Here is a 20,598-nt window from a genome sequence, read left to right on the forward strand (position 1 = left end):
GGCTTGACTGAAATAGACCCACTCTACCATAAAGTAAGCTAGCACAGGATAACTTGCATCTTATTCCACCAGGAAGATTACCTGGATTACCTATCCTTCTACAAATCAGCATTCTTTTTTCAGCCCAAGCATTAAATATAACAAATGCCATCCTCTGTGTTACTGATAGCGAAAAACTGAGAATGGCAAAAAAGTCACCACTTTGCCTGCTTAAAGCCACTTGTCTTCCCTATGCAGATATAAACAGAGAGATAATTACCTTGCCAAGGTCCTTGAAATCAGATATGGTGTTAGAAGGGTATGAAATATGGAAGATGACTGTGCTAATAGGTTGTGAAAGATGAGGACAGATCAATCATGTACAACCCCAAACTGAGTGTATTCTCTGCTCAAACAGATGGAAATTATATGCAAAAGAAGTTGGGAATTGTCATAAAAGCACAGGGATTAGTTACTAATCTATTATGGTTATGAGGCTTTTTAAAAGACATTAGGGAAATACAAAGAAATAATCAGATGATTAAAGATAATGACACAACTTTCAAGGGAATTAATAACTACAAGTCTTGGAAAGGAAATAATAATAAAACGACCTTATTTAGGCTGGGCTCAGTGGCTCACGCCTGTAATCCCACCACTTTGGGAGGCTCAGGTGGGTGGATCAACTGAGGTCAGGAGTTTGAGACCAGCCTGGCCAACACGGGGAAACCCCATCTCTACCAAAAATATAAAAACTAGCCGGGTGTGGTGGTGGGCGCCTGTAATCCCAGCTACTTAGGAAGCTGAGGCAGGAGAATTGCTTGAATCCAGGAGATGGAGGTTGCAGTGAGCCAACATGGTGCCACTTCACTCCAGCCTTGGTGACAGAGTGAGACTCCGTCTCAAAAAAAAAAAAAAAAAAGGACCTTATTTAAACCCTGAAATTGGTCATAACTAAATATTCACACAATTCATTTTGATTAATGTAGGAAAATAGCTATATAGGTAATACATTTTTAACTAGAAATTCATAAATTTCTAACTAGGATTGACCAATACTGAATCAACTTTTCCTCCCCCTGTGAGTTGTTTTCCGGTTAAAAACCACAAGTATTCCTCAGCTTCTCTTTCAATGTCAATGAGGTGTGCATGACGTCATCTTGCATATAAAATATTCCTCCCATTTTAAAACATTAAACTATCTTTCTGTGTTAATTCAAAGAAGTCAACAGCTTTATTTTCCACATTTTAGTATGAAAAACATAGCTGCTGACCATTATTCACCTTTTATGATCTGCTGAACCTAAAATTAAAAAAATGTATTACTTGATAAGGTTAAAACAAGTTATCTAATACTGTAATGGAGTTATGCCCAGAAAAACACTAATACACAATTATAAATTTCTAAATGTATCTAATTATACATCTTTCTCATGAAAGAGTTCACTTACACATTTTCTTTAGGTACTTACATTAAATGTGGGGGTAACAAAGCTAACAACTAGCAATTCATGTGCCTTCTTACTAATGTCCCTATCAAGAATGAATTTTAATATAACTTGTCTACTTCTAACATTCATTTTAAGATTCTACCTGACTTTAGTAACAAACAGGCTTCTCAAAAATTCTTCAGAAACTGTTTGATCGTGCAATGTCAAAGTACTGCAACAAACCTGGTGGGAATTATACCAAATAGACCAACTGAAGACTTAAAAAGACTTCAAAAAAAAAAAAAAAACTGTAGGCAAAAGTTGAATATTATTGAGTCCCCAGGAGAAATAAACTGGAGTACTGGTCATAGCATTCTAGGCAGAGAATGAACTCTTGGGATGCTGCTATTCCTTTGTCAGACTAAAAATTTTAGTCCTACTTTTGAATTGTCATATTAAATACCAGATCACCAAAATAGAGTAATTTTCAGACTGCAAATTTGTACCAAGCAAAAAATTTTCCTCTAAAAAATTTAGCATAATTCAGATAGATTATTTTTAAGAGAAAATTATTTGACTTATTCACGCCATGGATAAGAGATAATATTTTTGGTGGCAGTTTGGTGAAGCCAGACCACCTGGTCTGTGGCTCACGCCTATAATCCCAGCATTTTGGGAGGCTGAGGCCGGTGGATCACTTGAGCTCAGGAGTTCAAGACCAGCCTGGGCAACATGGCGAAAACCTGTCTTTACAAAAAATACAAAAAAAAAAAAAAAAAAAAAAAAGGCTGGGCATGGTGGCACACCTGTATTCCCAGCTGCTCGGGATGCTGAGGTGGGAGGATTGCTTGAGCTCAGAAGGTGGCTGTTGCAATGAGCCTTGTGATCATGCCACTGCACTCCAGCCTGGGTGAGAGTGACACCCTGTCTCAAAAAACAAAACAAACAAGAAAACCCCCAAAACCCAAATTTTATCTGCCCCTTACTGACTGCAACGCTAGACCCATTACCTATACTTTTGTGCCTCAGTTTCTTCATACGTAAAATGGGAAAAAAATAACAGTATTTAGTAGATTAATTCAGTTAATCAACACTCTTCTGCTATATTGATTACTACAACACACAGAACAGTGACTCATTTATGGTAAAGCGCTATATAAGTATTGGCTATTATTATTAATGTATGTTTAATCAAATAAAGAGGCATAATATTTTAATCCTCACAGTTTAATGTTAATCATCTAACATTCCTCCATTCTTCTTCAAATAGTTATATTATTTATTGACCTGGGAAGTCTTTGTTTCTGTTTTAGCCTTAAAAGAGAACAAGCAGCTGGGCGCAGTGGCTCACGCCTGTAATCCCAGCACTTTGGAAGGCTGAAGTGGGAGGATCATGAGGTCAGGAGATCAAGACCATCTTGGCTAACATGGTGAAACCCCATCTCTACTAAAAATACAAAAAAAAAAATTAGCCTGGTGTGGTGGCAGGCACCTGTAATCCCAGCTACTCAGGAGGCTGAGGCAGGAGAGTGATGTGAACCCGGGAGGCGGAGCTTGTGGTGAGCCGAGATTGTGCCACTGCACTCCAGCCTGGGTGACAGAGCAAGACTCCATCTCAAAAGAAAAAAAAAAAAAAAAAGAGAGAGAGAACAAGCATATATTAAAGTGCTTGTATTTGTACCTTGGATAAGCAGGCATGTAATACCTTAGGAAAAACTAAAACACTAGGTTTAACTGCTGGGAATAGGCTTGAAAGACCCATGAAAAAGACAATATTGCAGAAGACAGTCAACCAAAATAATTTATAAGCAGATTTTCCCATTTTACGTATGAAAATTTTCCATTTTACATATGAAAAAACCAAGGCACAGAAAGACACTAGGTTTAATTGATTAGCATGGGCTTGAAAGACACAAAAAATTGCATTTTCTAGAGAGAAAAATGGATTTGAGGAACTTAAAACAATTTTTTTTTCTTTTGCTGTTCACTTAAGCTGATTCTTACTCCTTGGCCAAATGTGACTTTATATAAAACATACCATACAGATGTAAAGGTTGTATAAATCTTCGTAAGAATACCATTCTAAACTCAAAGAGTTTATAGACTTTCCTAACCACCATTGCCCTATGTAATTATACCACTGAAGAATTTGTTGTTGATTTAATAAAAGCTTTTTCCTTATTTAGAGACAAGATCTTGCTGTGTTGCCAAGGCTGGAGGGTGGAGTGCAGTGGTGCAATCATGGCTCATTGTGTGCCTGACAGCATCACAAGAGTCAAGTTCATTTCTCTGCCTAGAATGCTGTGATCAGTACTCCAGTTTATTTCTCCTGGTGACTGGATAATATTCAAAATTTGCGTACAGTTTTCTGCACGCTTGAACTCCTGGGCTCAAGCAATCTTTCCACCTCAGCCTCTTGAGTATCTAGGACTACAGGCGCATGCCAGGATGCCTGGCTAATTTATATATACAATGTATATATAAATTATATACAAAATGTATATATAAATTATATATAAAATGTATATATAAATTATATACAAAATGTATATACAAATTATATATAAAATGTATATACAAAATTTATATATAATTTATTATATATAAATTAATATACATTATATTTAATTATATAATTACATATAATTTATATATAAATTTTATATCTAATTTATATATTATATATAATTTATATATAAATTATATATAAAATTTTATATATAAAATACATATAAATTAGATATAAAATTTATATATAAATTAGATATAAAATTTTATATCTAATTTATATATAATTACACCAAAAAAAAAAAAAAAAGCCAGGCATGGTGGCACAAGCCTTTAGTCCCCAGCTATTTGGGAGGCTGAAATGGGAAGACTGCTTGAGCCCAGGTGATCAAGGCTGCAGGAAACCGTGATCACATCACTGCACTCCTGGGCAACAGAGTCAGACTCTATGAATTCTATAAAAGAATTCATCGCCCAGGCTGATGCAGAGGCACAGTGATGGCTCACTGCAGCCTTGACCTCTCAGGCTCAAGTGATCCTCCCACCTCAGCAACCTACCCCCTCTACCCAGGAGCTGGGACTATACGCATGTGCCACCGCATCACATTAATACTTAAATTTTTTGTAGAGATGGGGTCTCACTACGTTGCCCAGGCTGGTCTTGAATTCCTGAGTCCCAGTGATCCTCCCACCTCAGCCTTCTAAGGTGCTGGAATTGCAGGCATGAGCCACTGTGCCTGACCCTATTTTTTAATTTTTTGTAGAGGCAGGGCATTGCTATATTGCCAAGGGTGGTCTCCGACTTCTGGACTCAAGCGATCCTCCTGCCTCGGCATCCCAAATTACTAGGATTACAGGTGTGAGCCACTGTGCTGGCATGCTTTCTCCCTTTTGACTTGCTCTATTATATTAATGGCACAAAATTTATAGTAATGTTTTCATCTATGTATATCGAGAAAATATTTGCCTATATATCTCCTTTACATACAATTCATTTTTTTTGCTCATAGTTCTTGCTAAGATCCTACATTAAATGCTTACATGAGCTTGAAGTCTCTCTCTAAACAAAGCTTTACTGTAAGCCACAGAGTGGAGAACACTGCCCCATCCGGAAAAGAGGTTACAAGGTACAATAATTGTGGACTAACAGAAGAAGCAAAGGATTGGCAGTTAAAAACCTATGTTTGAATCCTAGCTCTTTCACTATTTAGCTACTTCAGTTCATAAAACTGAAATGTGTTCATCTCTCGATATTACTGCTAACTTTGTTTTTGATAAGAGGGGTGTCTCACATGCTTTAAAGAATCTGATGAAGTCATAGATCTTTTCTTCAACAAAAATTAACACAATCCACACATTTTTGCATACAGTTAGGGGCTTCAAGTAATCACACAAGTCCATGTATCCTAAGAACCCTCTAGAATACTAGATTACAATGGTTCCTGCTGTTTTAATATAAAAATGCCATTTCCGCATTCATATTCTTTCTCACACACACCCTTAAAGTCTTGCTGTGCAACGTGTAAATGTACCAGAGCTCACAAGCTTACTTTTAAACACATAAAAGAAATGAAGTTTTATCTTTATTGGCAAAGTTTCCCCCCTTGAGGCATATTAACAGTGATTGTGTGTAGTTTTAGATTTATATCAGGACAAACTAGATACTCAAATCAGTTATTTTATTAATCATTATCCTAAAAAATCTTCAAATTTAGTTACAGTAGCTTAATTAAACCTCAGATAAACCTTAAAAATCAAAATATGTTTTGTATACCTAGGGTCTAATAGGCACGAACAGAGCTATGCAAAACTGGGTTTGGATAAGGATTTAATTGTCCACATGTATTCAGTCACATTGGTGAAAGCAGAAACTGCATCTGTGCCAAAGTCTCAGCTGCTGTAATTAAAGACAGACCCCCCCCCGCCCCCACTCCCCCCTCAGGAGCAGCTAGCTATCATTATTTTCAAAGGGCAGCAATCACAAAGGCTTTGCATTATGTGGATTGCACATTCCAAGGATATAGGATTGCTACCAGACTTCGGGGACTATCCTAATAAGCAAAGTAGTTCATTAAAGCAATCATCAAATTTACATACAAGTTTTAAATTTTCTGAACTTTGCTTAGTTTGTCATGTGAGTTTACCTCCCTTTGTGAAATAGAGCTATTTCTGAAAAGTTAATTTCTGATCATCTTGCCCTACTACTTGACTAACTTTATAAAGCTTGGAAGTATTATTACAAAGCAAGAGTAAATCACCACAGAACATCAATTTTAAACATGCTTAATTGAACAAAAAAATTAGTTCCTCTTTGATAAAGATAAGTAACAAAATATAAACGGAAAGAAGATGAGGTTATTTTTCACCTTTGATATCACATTTAATAGATTCAGAGGAAAACTAATCCCAACTGTGCAACACATTCAGGGGCTGGAGATTTAATGAGATTCCATTAGACCTAACAGGATAACATGTAGGCACTTCAAATCCCCTCTATCATCCTTCATGAAGCCAAGCTATTTTGAAATAAATGAGAAATAGGAACATAGCAAAAGCAGACCAAAGCAGTACATTTACCAAAAATTAAAACTGCCAATTTTCCAAAATTTTTGGGTACTGTGAAAATCATGATTGTTTTCTCTAACTTGAAGAAATTTTGTAATCCAGTACAGTATATCATCCTTCGGTACAATAAAAAAAAAAAAACTTTAAAGTGCTCAAGTACACTAGTAGGTGTGCTGGGAGAAAAAGTGACCTTCGGATCTCCTGAAATTGAGTAAAAGCAATATAATTATACTTCACTGATTTTGTAAAACATTTTTTAACATACTAAAGCCATATACTAAAGCGGAAATTATCACTAGCTGCTAGGATTAAAATTTCAAAAAGTGCCAGTGGAAGTTCTTATGCTTTCTTCCCACTGGCCAATAAGACTCCTACGGGTAATTTCTTATGTTTGCCTAGTTCCATGAATTCTTTTACAGAATTCATAGAGTCTGACTCTGTTGCCCAGGACTGCAATGATGTGATCACGGTTTCCTGCAGCCTTGACCACCCGGGCTCAAGCAATCTTCCCATTTTAGCATCCCAAATAGCTGGGGACCAAAGGCTTGCACCACCACGCCTGGCCTTTTTTTTTTTTTTTTTTTTTTTGGTAGAGACGGGGACTATGTTGCCCCAGGCTGGTCTTGAACTCCTGGCCTCAAGCAATCTCCCACCTTGGCCTCCCAAAGTCCTAGGATTACATGGCATTATTTGGCACTCATCCAAATAATTTATTTAAAAAAGAAAACATACATGGGTTTTGATGCTTAAGCACTCTCCCTCAAATTTTGACATCTTTATGATTAGGTAGGGTTCAGATTTTAAAATATCTTTGCAATAAGGTAAAGAAAGATCTATGTTTTGTTTTTTAATTAAAGGCCTTTAAGAAAGTGGGCAATAACAAAGCATTAAACGTATCTCTAAATACTGATTTCACTCCTCCAGTTCCCTTAACTTCAACTGTTAAAACGAACTCTCCCTTTCAAGCAGCGATGATATATTTTGGATGAACCTTAAAATCTTTTAAAAATATTCAATAAATTTAACCATTTTCTCAATGTGAACTCAACGACATTTTAATTAAAGCTTGTACCACTTTATTTTTATTTTTTTGAGACAGAGTCTCGCTCTGTCGCCCGGGCTGGAGTGCAGTGGTGCAATCTCAGCTCACTGCAGCCTCAAACTCCCAGACTCAAGCGATTCTCCTGCCTCAGCCTCCCGAATAGTTGAGATTACAGGCGCGTGGCAACACATCAGCTAATTTTCGTATTTTTTGTATTATTACTACTACTATTATTATTATTTTTTGTAGAGACGGGATTTCCCCATGTTGCCCAGGCTGGTTTCGAACTCCTGGGCTCATGCGATCCGCCCGCCTTGGCCTCCCAAAATGCTAGGACTACAGGCGTTGAGCCACAGCGCTCGCCAAAGCTTGTATCACTTCTCTTCCTTCTCCACCAACACACATAGTCGTCAAAAAGGAAATTCAAAAATAAAAAAAGCGAATAATGGTATCACTTCTACTTCATACTTTGAAACAGCCCCATATTCACCCATCACCCCCAAAAGCAATCAGTGCACTTAGGGCGTTGGGGTGCTTCACACTGCACTTAGAGCTCACCATTTTTAAACTTGAAGGGAACCGTGGTATCTTCAAAGTCTCCGAGTTGCCAGCGACCTCAGCCTCTCCACTTTCTCGAACATCATCCCTGGGCACTGTCTCCCGACACAGCCAGCGCGGTGGCCATGCGCCTCAAACCGAGCATTCCAAACGCGGAAACTCAACCCCGAGCGCGGAGAGGATGGAAACTGCCTGAAAGGATCTGTGCAGGGCTGGGCTTGGGACGCGGCTCACACGAAACTGAGGCAGGAGTCTCTTCCTGCACCCGCACCACGCCGGGACCCGAGGGGTTTCACTCCCTTCACTGAGCCGAGCCAGGAAGCCAAGAGCCACCAGGGCGAAGCAGCCCTGCAAAACCTCCACTCAGCCTTACAACAGCCACAGCGCCGGGACACGCGGCACCGCATCCCGGGCGCGCCAGTCCTCCTGCAGTCGGGGGACGCTCCCCTCAGGCGCCCGCGTCGGAGCCCAGCTACCCCCGCGCCGCCCTCACCTACCGAGGCTCCCCCGCGTCCACCGGCTCCTGCAGCGAGACAGCCGGCGCAGGCGGGCATGGTCCGAGCGCGGGCTCTGCAGGGGAGAATGAGGCGCGCGGACTGCCAGTCACCCGGGCGGCGTTCCCCGCCCTAGCGCTCCAGGGTCGCGAGTCCCACAGGAGTCCCGAGTTGCGGTCCCGGGGCGGCGGGGCTCCCGCCCCCTCCCCGCCCCCGCGGATATCCCCACGCACCACGAAGATCCCCACGCGCCCTGCGCAACGCGGCTGCTCCGCGCTGCCTTCTGCTGACTACAAACTGCGCCTCCAGGGAGCCAGGGCGAGGCGGAGGCCACCACCAAGTTGTGGCGCTCTCTCCTCTCGCTGCCTCAGAGCAGCGAGTTTCTCCTCAGCTGCAAACAAGGACGCAGGGCCAGCTCCGTGGGGCTCAGCGGGGGCAGAGGGAGAGCGAAAGCGCGGGAACCCGCGCATCTGAGGAAAGCTAAACATTTCACCTGTAGAGTCGGCTGCCCTGGCCCTCGGAGGCCCACCTTTGGCCCCAGAGTCCCTGAATCAATGATAATTAACATTTTTAAAAAATTTATTATTTTTAAAAATAAATTTAATCGGGAAGCTCCGAGCCAGAAGAGTAGCGTCTGAGACTCCCCATAATTAACATTCTTCACTCCTTAATTTTAATTTACCTCACACCAAACTAGCTGCTAACCCTCCTCTCCTCATCTGCCACATTCCCCACAAACCTTGAGCTGTCTTCTTTGCTCAGTCAGTTCCTCAGACTCAATCTTAGCACGGTACAGACCTTCGCCCACTGCCTTCCCTGGAAGCCTCAGGAACACAGCAGCACCCCCCAGCGAGGTGCGCACAGTGAGCAGGCAGCTCGGAAAGCAGCGGCGCTTGCGCACTGCGCCGGGGGCGGAGCCAGAGGCCCTGCACGTGGAAGCTCGAAGCCCGTAGGTGGGGCCCGCGCAGGAACGGACTCCTGAGAGACTTTCCATGTCCTGAAGCAAACTGTGTGTTCAGTGCCTACTCCGTGTACACGGAGTGGGCCTTCAACAAAACGATCGTTTTGTCATGGCTTTCTAATTTAATTCAAAAGGAGTTAGAAGATCGGGGAGGACTTTATGTTGCTCAGCTAATGGCCAAATCCCTTAGCTAAGGCTTCAGCTTGGAGCTAACAAGTACATCCAAGTTTCAGGGATCTAAAGCATGAAGATTTTTACCAGACTCATTCTGTCGGGTGCGGTGGTCGGTGATCTCAGCACTTTGGGAGACCAAGGTGCGTTCAGGAGTTTGAGACCAGCCTGGGCAACATAGTGAGACCTCCTCTGCCAAAAACAAAAAAAATCCTTGCACTCAGAAAATTAATTCTACTTCATAGCGCGGCTTATGAAAGCCTGATTCAGAGGCTATATAGATTACAGAATCGAAGTCTTCCAGTCCAGTCACTCAGATTTAGTTTTACAATTGCAGGCCTGAGAGTCACTTCATCCTTCAGTGGGTGAATCCTTTAGGGGCGAAGACGCTGAAGACAGGCAGCTTAAAAGATGCAGTATTCGGCCGGGCGCGGTGGCTCATGCCTGTAATCCCAGCACTCTGAAAGGCCGAGACGGGCGGATCACCTGAGGTGTTCCAGACCAGCCTGGCCAACATGGCGAATCCCAGTCTCTACTAAAAAATGCAAAAATTAGCCAGGCGTGGTGGCGTGCGCCTGTAGTCCCAGCTACTTGAAAGGCTGAGGCGGGAGAATTGCTTGAATCCGGGAGGCGGAGGTTGCAGTGAGCCAAGCTCACGCCACTGCACTCCAGCCTGGGCAAAGGAGTGAGATTCTGTCTGTCTGTCTGTCTGTCTGTCTGTCTCTCTCTCTCACACACACACACACACACACACACACACAAAGATGCACTATTCCATTTTCCAATAATCACTTTCTGTAAGGCAAGTTTTAAGTGTATTTTACAACTGGATTGAAAGAGGAGCTTCAGGGATCTGTGAATACCGTAAATCTGAGAATTAATTTTTTTTTTTTTTTTTTTTTTACGGAATCTAGCTCTGTTGCCAGGCTGGAGTGCATTGGCGCGATCTCGGCTCACTGCAACTTCCGCCTCCCAGCTTCAAGCGATTTTCCTGCCTCAGCCTCCTGAGTAGCTAGGATTACAGCCAGGCGCCGCCATGCCCAGCTAATTTTTGTATTTTTAGTAGAGACGGGGTTTTACCATGTTGGCCAGGATGAGTCTCGATCTCCTGACCTCGTGATCCGCTCGCCTCGGCCTGCCAAAGTGCTGGGATTACAGGCGTGAGCCACTGCGCCCGGCCTAAAATGTTTCTTTCACTATAAGTTCAATTTAGTGGAAAGACGTTCTTTAACTATCATCAAATTCTAATGTCAATGACACTACCCCACCAAAACACAGTCGGAATTTCTGTTTTCTGTTTATGCTCCTATAAACCAATGGTATTTTAAAAACTTATTTTAAGTTTCAGTTTTACTGCGTGTGAAATAAAATTTTATTATTCCTCTTAATAACCTATTTTGGTTGGGCAAGGTGGCTGACGCCCTGTAATCCCAACACTTTGGGAGAGCGAAGCAGGTGGATCACTTGAGGTCAGGAGTTTGAGACCAGCCTGGCCAACATGGTGAAACCCCGTCTCTACTAAAAATACAAAAATTAGCTGAGTGTGGTGGCATGCGTCTGTAATCCCAGCTACTCGGGAGGCTGAGGCAGGAGAATCGCTTGAATCTGGGAGGCGGAGGTTGCAGTGAAACCACGGCACTCCAGCCTGAGACTTCGTCTAAAAATAAAAAATTAAAAAAATCTATTTTTGACAATAAATTGAAAGTTCAAAATTTATATATTTTTCATTTTCTTCTTCATGACCATTATCTGTCTTTTTCAACTTAAGAATTAGGGTACCCAGCAATTGTACTCCTAGGAGTTTACACCCAAGGGACATGTATAAAAATTTCATAGCAATACCGTTCATAATAGCAGAATACTAGGAACAACTGGAATATCCTGAATTAAAATTGCGGCATATTCATTCATTGGAATATTTAACAGCAATGAAAACAGAATAAACTACATTTACATGCAACAACATGCATGGATTGCCTAAGCAATATTGAGGGAAAGAAGTCAGACAGAAGAGAATGTACATTGTGAGTTGCCAATTGTATAGTTTAAAAATAGACAAAACCAAACTGGTATGTAAGTATGCATACTTATGTGTCTAAAGGATAGAGAAAAGCAAGGAAGTGATTTTCATGAAAATCAGGATAGTGCTTATCTTTTAGAGAAAATTGTCATCAGTGTGTTATAGGATTTTAGGTAATTTTTATTTTTTCTTTATGCTTTTCTGTAATTTCCAAATTATCTACAATGAACATGTGTTTCTTTATAACCAGCAGGGGAAAACTAGATGTTACTCTCAAAAATAAATAAAAAAGGATCAAGGTCGAGTGCCACAAGAAAATTGAAAAAAAGAGGTATCTTGTGAACAACACTATAAAACTATACCAAATCTACAACTTCAGTTTACTCCTATTTCCTTTATCTCCATCCTTTTCTTTTTAAAATTCCAAAAGAAACAAAAACTATAATAATCTGCAATTTATTTTCTAAAACATTACTTTTTATCCCTTATCATTTTCTTAGATTTACTTTATTCTTATATTACTGTCTTGAATTGATTGGCTAATGTTCATCTTCTTTTGCATTCTTTACTTTTTTCTTTTTGAGACGGAGTTTTGCCCTGTCGCCTGGGTTGGAGTGCAATGGTGCAATATTGGCTCACTGCAACCTCTGCCTCCTGGTTCAAGCGATTCTCTGCCTCAGCCTCCCAAGTAGCTGGGATTACAAGCATGTGCCACCACACCCAGCTAATTTTTATATATTTTTTTAGTAGAGATGGGGTTTCATTGCATTCTTTTCTAGAATTGATTGGCCAGTTTATGTTTTATTTTCTTTTTCATTTCTTAAAAAACAAAACATTTTTAAGACTATAGCTCTACCTCTGAGGTCATACATTGGCTTCATCCTATGAGTTTTCATAAATAGTATTATTTTCACGATTGTTTTTTAAAAATAATTTGTATTTGCATTTTTAATTTTTTCTTTTGCTGCCTTCTGTAGCATGTAAAGTTTAACATACACACATTATATCTATCTTGTTGATTGTATTATTCAGACCATTCAAATCTTACTTTTTTTTGGCATATTTCGTATTTTTGTCTTTTTATCTTTCTAAGTCTTAGACAAATGTCCATTTCTCCTCAAATTTGTAGTCACTTTTTTCATATATGTATAGCTATATTATTTAGTACATAAAGCTTTATGAATACTATGTATTGTGCATATTGGATCTTGTATTAAAATAAAATGAATCCCTTTATCAGATTTTAAATGTTTTTTTCCCTCTCTTGAATTCTACTTTAACGAATTATTATTGTTACCCCCTTCTGTCTTTGCATTTGCTTCTTGTTTCTCTGTCCAATCTTTTGCTTTTAACTTTTCTGTGCCATTTGGTTTCCATGTATTTCTAATGAACAGTGTACAATTAAATGTTATTCCATTTTAATCTCTTTTCTTTCTTTTTTTTTTTTTTGAGATAGAGTCTTGCTCTGTCACCCAGGCTGGAGTGCAGTGGTGTGATCATAGCTCACTGCAGCCTAGAACTCCTGGGCTCAAGCCATCCTCCTGCCTCAGCCTCACAGTAGCTGGGAATACAGGCATGCACCACCACACTCAGCTAATTTTTTTTTATGGAGATGAGGTCTCCCTGTGTTGCCCAGGCTGGTCTCAAAGTCCTAGGCTCACGCGATCCTCACACCTCAGCCTCCCAAAGTGCTGGGATAATGGGCATGAGCCACCGTGCCTGGCTTAATTTCTTTTTTAACAGGAGTGCAAAAGCTTTTATAGGTATATCTGACATTGACATTAGTCATCTTGGTTTAGCTATTTTTAATGCATCTTTGCTGTTTCTTTTCTTTTATATCTTTTGTCATGTGGGCTATATTTACTTTTGCTTTCCTCTAGTGTTTTGGCAGGTATGGATACTTTTGTTAACCAAATAATACTAAAACCAGTACTCTCTAATTATCAATACAAATGAAAAGAGTATCTATTGGCTCCTCAATTGATTAAAGAAATTAGCATAATTTTCATATCAATTGTTGATGTCATCTGGAATGTTAGACCCAAACTTTAAGAAATTAATATCTCATTTAATCCTCAGAACAATTCTGAACAATGCCATTAATCTCATATTGCAGTTGAACAATCTGAAGCACAGATAAATCATTTCTGAAGTACATACAGGTAACAAATGGTAGAATGAGAACTCAAATCCAAGGGCTTTGACTCTAAACCTCACTTTTTCCCCACTGTACTATGCTAAGTGAAAAGAATAAACAACTTTCTTATCAAACTCTAAGAGCACAGATAATTTATTTGTCAAATTTTAAGCTCCTAGCGATGTTATAACCTTCACAAGATCACGTCTTCAACATTTTTTTGAGCGAATTGCTGTAGTTCCAGGCAGTGCTGGGCACATAAAAAGTGCTGCTCAGCAAATACTCTTGACTTAAGTCCAAATAAAAGATATCTTCAATTGAGAGGTTAATTATTAATTTATTGATGAGAAAGCTACCATTTAATCATTTCCAGCATCATCTCTGTATAGTAAGTGATGTAGAAAGAATCACTTGAATAGTTACGTAATTGAAAGGCACATATGCACCCAGTTTCCTAGGGAAAGGTTGTAATGGTAACTTTTCTGCAACTTGAAAATGGCTTCATCTCCCAATACTCTTTTGGTGTGAAAATCTTGAGACTGGGGAGAAAATATGCAAATTTACTCCTGAACCAATGAGCTTCTGAGAGCAAAGAGAGGGAAGCATTGACCTACTTTAGGGTCAACATAATTAAAACTTCTCTGATGAACTGAGATGGTCCCCGCTGGGAAAAGCTGGCAGTATGTCTCCCCGAAGGACCTCCATGAATGAGCACACGGTGAAGTCAGGGTGAGTGTGGCAATGGTGGCCAGCATCGGTACTCAGCCCAGGCTGCATCCAGAAGCTCTTCCTAAAACCAGCCACTCCAGCATGGGCAATCAATGGTGCTGTAACCTTACAAACACAGGCTTGGGGAAAGAGACTCTTCTCCCTAGAAGAATCTCTATGGCCTCTGCAGGAAGCTGGATGATCAGTAGCTCTGCCATAAACATAAGCAGGGGTGCAGAGATAATGCAGGGACTGCTGTTTCAATGGTAAAATGAAGTGACAGGAGTGAGAATGGCAGTAACAAGTGCACCAGCTACAGAAAATAACAGTATGGTAGTAGATTGATCACTCCTGTTCTTACTTCACATAGCCTTTGGAAAGCAAAGTTGGTCCCTTGGTACTTATTAAGCCCACCTGGGGTTCTTAAACAATTCAGGGTTGAGGAGGCAGGCTTCTTGTAGGACTACCAGATCCATAAATAAGTAAATAAAACTACTGCAGTTTTTAACTTTAAGTATATTTCATGCAGTATTTGTCTGAAATTCAAATTTAACTGGATGCCTTGTTTTTGATCTGTCAACCTCATCTCCAAGGTAAAATTACCGAATATTTTCAATTTTTTTGTCAGATGAGGTCTCAAATAGGGGTCACACCAGTTAATAAGTCAAAGTAGACAATAAATCGTGTTTTCTTCGTAATCCAATAGTATCTGTGCCAGTCTTTATTAAAGCATTTATTAAATGCTACCACTCTTTATTAAAGCATTTAACACTCTCCGTTGCAATCACTGATTTTCTTATAAGTCTTCTTCAATTCCCTGTGAGATATTTGAGGGCAGGCAATGTGTTTTCCCCACCTCTGTATCCCTGAAGCTCAACACGGTGCCTGAGATAGTCATAAATATTTGTTGAAAGCTAAATGAATGCTTGAGTAAATTAACTCCAGTTTCGATGAACTTGGGTAAATTGTCATTTCATCCAGTAGAGGGCAGCTGTGTACCCAGTACTGCAGAGAGCAAGCCCCACATCAGTGCTGAGTGAAGCAGCCTTTCGAACTCGAAAATCTCTATTACCTGCAGCTCGCTGCTTAACAGCAGTGTGGTCCCTAACCCCATACCCGTGCCAAAGATTCTTATTGTTCTGCTGAAAAGCTTAATCTAATCTCAACCCATCCTTTCTTCTCTTTAGAAATGCAGAAACTCTCTTGTCTGAAAATACTAGAAAAAACAGATCCAACCAGGTGATCTCTTCTTTTTTGAATAACAATTGTAGGTTGATAAATCTATGTAGAATTCTAAATATTCTAGGCATTGCCATTACCCTTTAACATATTCCATTAATAGAATCTTTAAAAAATTAGTTCCATATGACTTTTTGGTTCATATCAGATATTAAGCTGCCTATCAGAGATAAACAAAACTAAAAAAAGAAGTAATCATGTTGATATACATTGTATGAAAGGGAAAAAAGCATGATTACTCCCTTATGGGTGTTATTCTTTTTGTGGTTTTCTTTTTTTGTTTTGTTTTGTTTTGTTTTTGAGATAGAGTCCCGTTCCATTGTCCAGGCTGGAGTGCAATAGTGCGATCATGGCTCACTGCAGCCTCAACTTCCTGGGCTCAGTTGATTCTTCCACCTCAGCCTCCCAAGTAGCTGGGACTACAGGCACACACCACCACACCTGGCTAATTTTTGTAATTAGCGCCCTTATAAGAAGAGGAAGAGACCCTAAAGTGCTGTCTTTCTCTGCCATGTGAGGACACAGTGAGAAGGTAGCTGTCTGTAAGCCAGGAGGAGGGCCCTCACCAGAACCTGACCATGCTGACAACCTGATCTTGTGCTTCCAAACTCCAGAACTATGAGAAAATAAATGTCAGTTGTTTAAGCCATCCAGTTTATAATATATTGTGATAGCAGCCTGAGCTAAGACATTATGTATACCTAATTTTGTATTCATGATTTTCTATTGTTTTCCTTAAATATGGGTCCTCAAATTGTATGAGATTCAGGACCCCAAATCCTGGCTCCAATTCTGGAAATAGGAATGATTATTGTCATCATATTAGGGAAGCAAAATGGAGGTTCAGGCAGTTACCTCAAATCACAGAGCTTACAGAGTTCAAACTCAGATCCGTAATTCCAAAGTCAGTTTAAAGATCAATATGACTGTCTCCTTTAAGGGGTTTGGGTTCCTTATTTCTAAATCCTGTCTTTATGAGGAATGTAGTTTGTACCTGCAGAGCATTTGCATGATCAGTTTCAAATTTCAACTTAAATTTATATACAAGTGTAAATTCCTTAATAAAAATATTAAGTAATAAGTATTGGTGAGAAAGGAATATAAATTATTCTATCATAAAGACACATGCATGCATATGTTCATTGCACCGCTATTCACAATAGCAAAGACATGGAATCAACCTAAATGCTCATCAATGGCAGGTTGGATAAAGAAAATGTGGTACATATACACCATGGAATACTATGCAGCCATAAAAAAGGTCATGTCCTTTGCAGGAACATGGATGGAGCTGGAGGCCATTATCCTTAGCAAACTAATGCAGGAAGAGAAAACCAAATACAGCATGTTCTCACTTATAAGTGGGAGCTAAATAACAAGAACACATGAATACAAAGAGGGGGAACAACAGACACTGGGGTCTACTTGAGGGTGGAGGGTGGGAGGAGGGAGAGAATCAGAAAAAACAACTATTGGGTACTAGGCTTAGTACCTGCGTGATGAAATAATCTGTACAGAAAACCCCTGTGACATGAGTTTACCTATATAACAAACCTGAACATGGAACCCTGAACCTAAAATAAAAGTTTAAAAACAAAACAAAAAAACCTCCAGGTATTGATGAGGGTGTGGAGAAATTTGAACTCTCATATACTGCTGGTTAGAAATATACGGTGCAGGTGCCAAAGCCCTCATCGACTATGAGAACTCAAACGAAGCTCTGGATAAGGCCTGGTTAAAGAGCAAAGATGTCAAGTTGGCTGAGGTACACCAGCAGGAGTGCTGCCAGAAATTTGAACAACTTTCCAAATCTGCAAAAGAAGAGCTGATAAATTTCAAACGGAAGAGAGTGGCAGCATTTAGAAAGAATCTAATTGAAATGTCTGAACTGGAAATAAAACATGCCAGGAACAATGTCTCCCTTTTGCAGAGCTGTATTGACTTGTTCAAGAATAACTGATAGGCCTTCACTCAGAAGAAAAGAAATGAATGTGAAAGAAAGCCAAACATCACTTGCACTTAAATCATTGCCATGGAAGATTTATTAGCTTCAACTTTAGTTTAAAATTATGTGAATAAATATTTTGATTTCTACAAAAAAAAAAAAAAAAGAAGGAAGAAAGAAATATATGGTGCAGGTGTTTTGGAAACAGTCTGGCAGTTCCTCAAAAAGCTAAACATAAAATTACCATATGACCCCACAATATATACCCACTGTACATCTGAGAAAATTGGAATCATATATCCACACAAAACTTGTACATGAATTTTCATAGCAGCATTATTTATAATAGCGAAAAAGTGGAAACAACCCAAATGTCCATCAACTGATAAATGGATAAACGAAATGTGGCATATCTACACAATGGGGTATTATTCAGGCATAAAAAGGAATGAAGTTCTGATACATTGCTACAGTATGAATGAACCTGGGAAACATTACACAAAGTGATAGGAGCCAGACACAAAAAATCATACATTGTACTATTCTATTTGTATGAAATGTCCAGAATAGGCAAATCCAGGGAGACAGAAAGTAGATTACTGGTTGTGGTGAGGAGAGGATGGTTAATGACTGCTAATGTATAATGTTTCTCTTGGAGATGATAAAAATTTGCTGGAATTAGTGTTGTTAGTTGCACAATATAGTGAATATACTGAAAGCCACTGAAATATACAATTTCAAAGGCTGAATTTTATGGTGTGTAAATTTTATCTAAAAATAGGTTTAAAGGATTAAATTTCTTAGTCTTAGAGGCATGTTATCCTTTTACCTACAAAATCATGATAAAATAATACAAAAGACACACTGAAAACAACCACGTAAAAGAAAAAATTTCTGAAATACTTTTTTAAAAAGACTTACTGAAGTTTTAGCACAAGATTTCTTTTTCCATAGAGTCCATAGGGTTTTTTTGCACCTGTTTGGAAAGAGCTGTATTAATGCTTGTATTAATGCTGCTAACTGAATAAATTTTTTGTTATACAGAGTTCTAAGCATATACATGGCACTGAATAAATATTTTGATTTAGGGATTGATTCTCCAATCCTAGTCCAACCCATAAATTACTGACCTTATGCCTAAGAAGCAAGAGATTTTGGAAATAAATGTAAATCTAAGAAGAAGGCAATGGACACATTTGATGTATCCTCCGGTTCTCCAGCAAACATTGTCTCTAGCTCTACTCTGCTACAAATTCTTCAAGTGAAAGGTAAAACTCTGGGGGGTAGATTTCACATTGAAACCCTTCAGAAAACAAGTTTCTTAAAAATGCCATAGGATACAAAAATTAGCCCGGAGTGGTGGCACGTGCCTGTAGTCCCAGCTACTCAGGAGGCTGAGGTGGGAAGATCACTTGAGCCCGAGAGGTCGAGGCTGCAATGAACTGTGACGGTGTCACTGCACTCTAGCCTGGGTGACAGAGCAAGACCCCGTCTCAAAAAATAAAATTAAATTAAAAATAAATGCCATAGGTATGTTTCCTTGGGAGTTATTTTTGTTCCTTTCCCTAAAAGCAATTCTGTTTACCCCAGCTATAGTTTCTCTCACTCAGAGTTCAGATCCTTTCCTTTAAATTTGGAATAACGTGTTCTGATTTTATTTATTTATTTATTTATTTATTTATTTATTTATTTATTTATTTATTATTATTATTTGAGACGGTGTCTTGCTCTGCCACCCAGGCTGGAGTGCAGTGGCGCGCTCTCAGCTCATTGCAAGCTCCACCTCCTGGGTTCACGCCATTCTCCTGCCTCAGCCTCCCAAGTAGCTGGGACTGCAGGTGCCCACCACCATGCCCGGCTAATTCTTTTGTATTTTTAGTAGACAGGGTTTCACCATGTTAGCCAGGATGGTCTCCATCTCCTGAGTTCGTGATCCTCCCGCCCCGGCCTCCCAAAGTGCTGGGATTACAGGCGTGAGCCACCATGCCCAGCCATGTGTTCTGATTTTATTTACAGCCAGTTCTTATTAAATGGGTACAAATGTGTATGCCCCATCTTTTTATCCTTTTTTTTTTTTTATAGCGGCTTGTATCTTTTGCAGGTTCTTTGAATTTTCAAATTTCCCTGAGGACAATAATTAGAAGTTTTTAGGTCTCTTCTCTTCCTGAAATATTTCTTTCTTCTAGAGGGGGTTCCTCTGCTTGTTTATCATAAATGTTTTATTTATGCTCTTGTTTTGTTTTGAACGTCTGGGGACTCTAGGTTGTTCGTGCATACATTTCAATGACAGATGAGATTGTGCAGTACACAAGCTGACCTGGAGCGCCTCCAATTCTGGAGGTCTGTTCCATGATAGCTTTTCTCATGATGAGGAGGGGAGACAGGGTTCTAGAAGAGAGTGGGCAGGAATGTGTGGACAAGACAGGATTCCTTTCAGAGTGGGTGCGGATTGCACAGGTGTATAAAGACCAGCTAAGCTTAGGCCCTTCATTTACTGTAGTAAGACATTAACATGGAGACAGAGTGTATAGTATATTTCACCCAGCACATTGCCTCACTTCCTTTTTTCCTTTTTGTCTGTTGTGGAGTTGCAAAGCCTCACTGTCACCGTTGGTCTTGCAATTCATTTTGAAATTTATTCTTATCATACCTAACTTGAAAGCAAATGTCTCAACCAGGTATTCTGTATACAAACAGTAAATTAATTATCTTATTTCATGACTCACTCCAACTCCAACTCACTGTGAACTTGGAGTTTCTCCTAGAAACCCTCGTGGAGAGTGGTGCTCAGCTGTGCATCAGGCCTTTATTTTGGGCGCAGGTTTCTAGTTATAGTTTCTA

The 20,598-nt window shown here is 39.7% G+C and overlaps 1 protein-coding gene across 1 annotated transcript in view, besides 5 other annotated features; it reads right to left on the reverse strand.

The window, feature by feature from the left end:
- The window catches only part of TEX15 (testis expressed 15, meiosis and synapsis associated), an 81,465-nt gene extending 72,020 nt beyond the window's left edge, over window positions 1-9,445 (reverse strand). Inside the window, exon 1 of the mRNA NM_001350162.2 lies at window positions 9,316-9,445. The gene's annotated coding sequence lies outside the window, so the exon portion shown is untranslated. The remainder of the gene's footprint in view (window positions 1-9,315) is intronic.
- Window positions 2,030-2,261: a silencer, noted in NCBI's record as "fragment chr8:30763109-30763340 (GRCh37/hg19 assembly coordinates)". NCBI's record gives its function as "represses an EF-1alpha promoter that drives an FKBP-Casp9 reporter gene in an ReSE screen in K562 erythroleukemia cells {active_cell/tissue: K562}" and the evidence as "EXISTENCE:reporter gene assay evidence [ECO:0000049][PMID:32094911]".
- Window positions 8,269-9,755: a transcriptional cis regulatory region, noted in NCBI's record as "candidate enhancer chr8.1136 targeted for multiplex CRISPR interference". NCBI's record gives its function as "positively regulates TEX15 gene expression with high confidence in K562 cells {active_cell/tissue: K562}" and the evidence as "EXISTENCE:mutant phenotype evidence [ECO:0000015][PMID:30612741]".
- Window positions 8,403-8,572: a silencer, noted in NCBI's record as "silent region_19089". NCBI's record gives its function as "represses an Ori minimal core promoter by ATAC-STARR-seq in GM12878 lymphoblastoid cells {active_cell/tissue: GM12878}" and the evidence as "EXISTENCE:reporter gene assay evidence [ECO:0000049][PMID:35858748]".
- Window positions 8,593-8,642: a silencer, noted in NCBI's record as "silent region_19090". NCBI's record gives its function as "represses an Ori minimal core promoter by ATAC-STARR-seq in GM12878 lymphoblastoid cells {active_cell/tissue: GM12878}" and the evidence as "EXISTENCE:reporter gene assay evidence [ECO:0000049][PMID:35858748]".
- Window positions 15,317-15,818: an enhancer, noted in NCBI's record as "NANOG hESC enhancer chr8:30776396-30776897 (GRCh37/hg19 assembly coordinates)". NCBI's record gives its function as "activates a minimal SCP1, AML or CMV promoter by ChIP-STARR-seq in naive H9 embryonic stem cells {active_cell/tissue: H9 hESC(naive)}" and the evidence as "EXISTENCE:reporter gene assay evidence [ECO:0000049][PMID:30033119]".

This window comes from Homo sapiens, chromosome 8 (assembly GCF_000001405.40).
Source record: "Homo sapiens chromosome 8, GRCh38.p14 Primary Assembly".
In the NCBI taxonomy this organism is placed as follows: domain Eukaryota; kingdom Metazoa; phylum Chordata; class Mammalia; order Primates; family Hominidae; genus Homo; species Homo sapiens.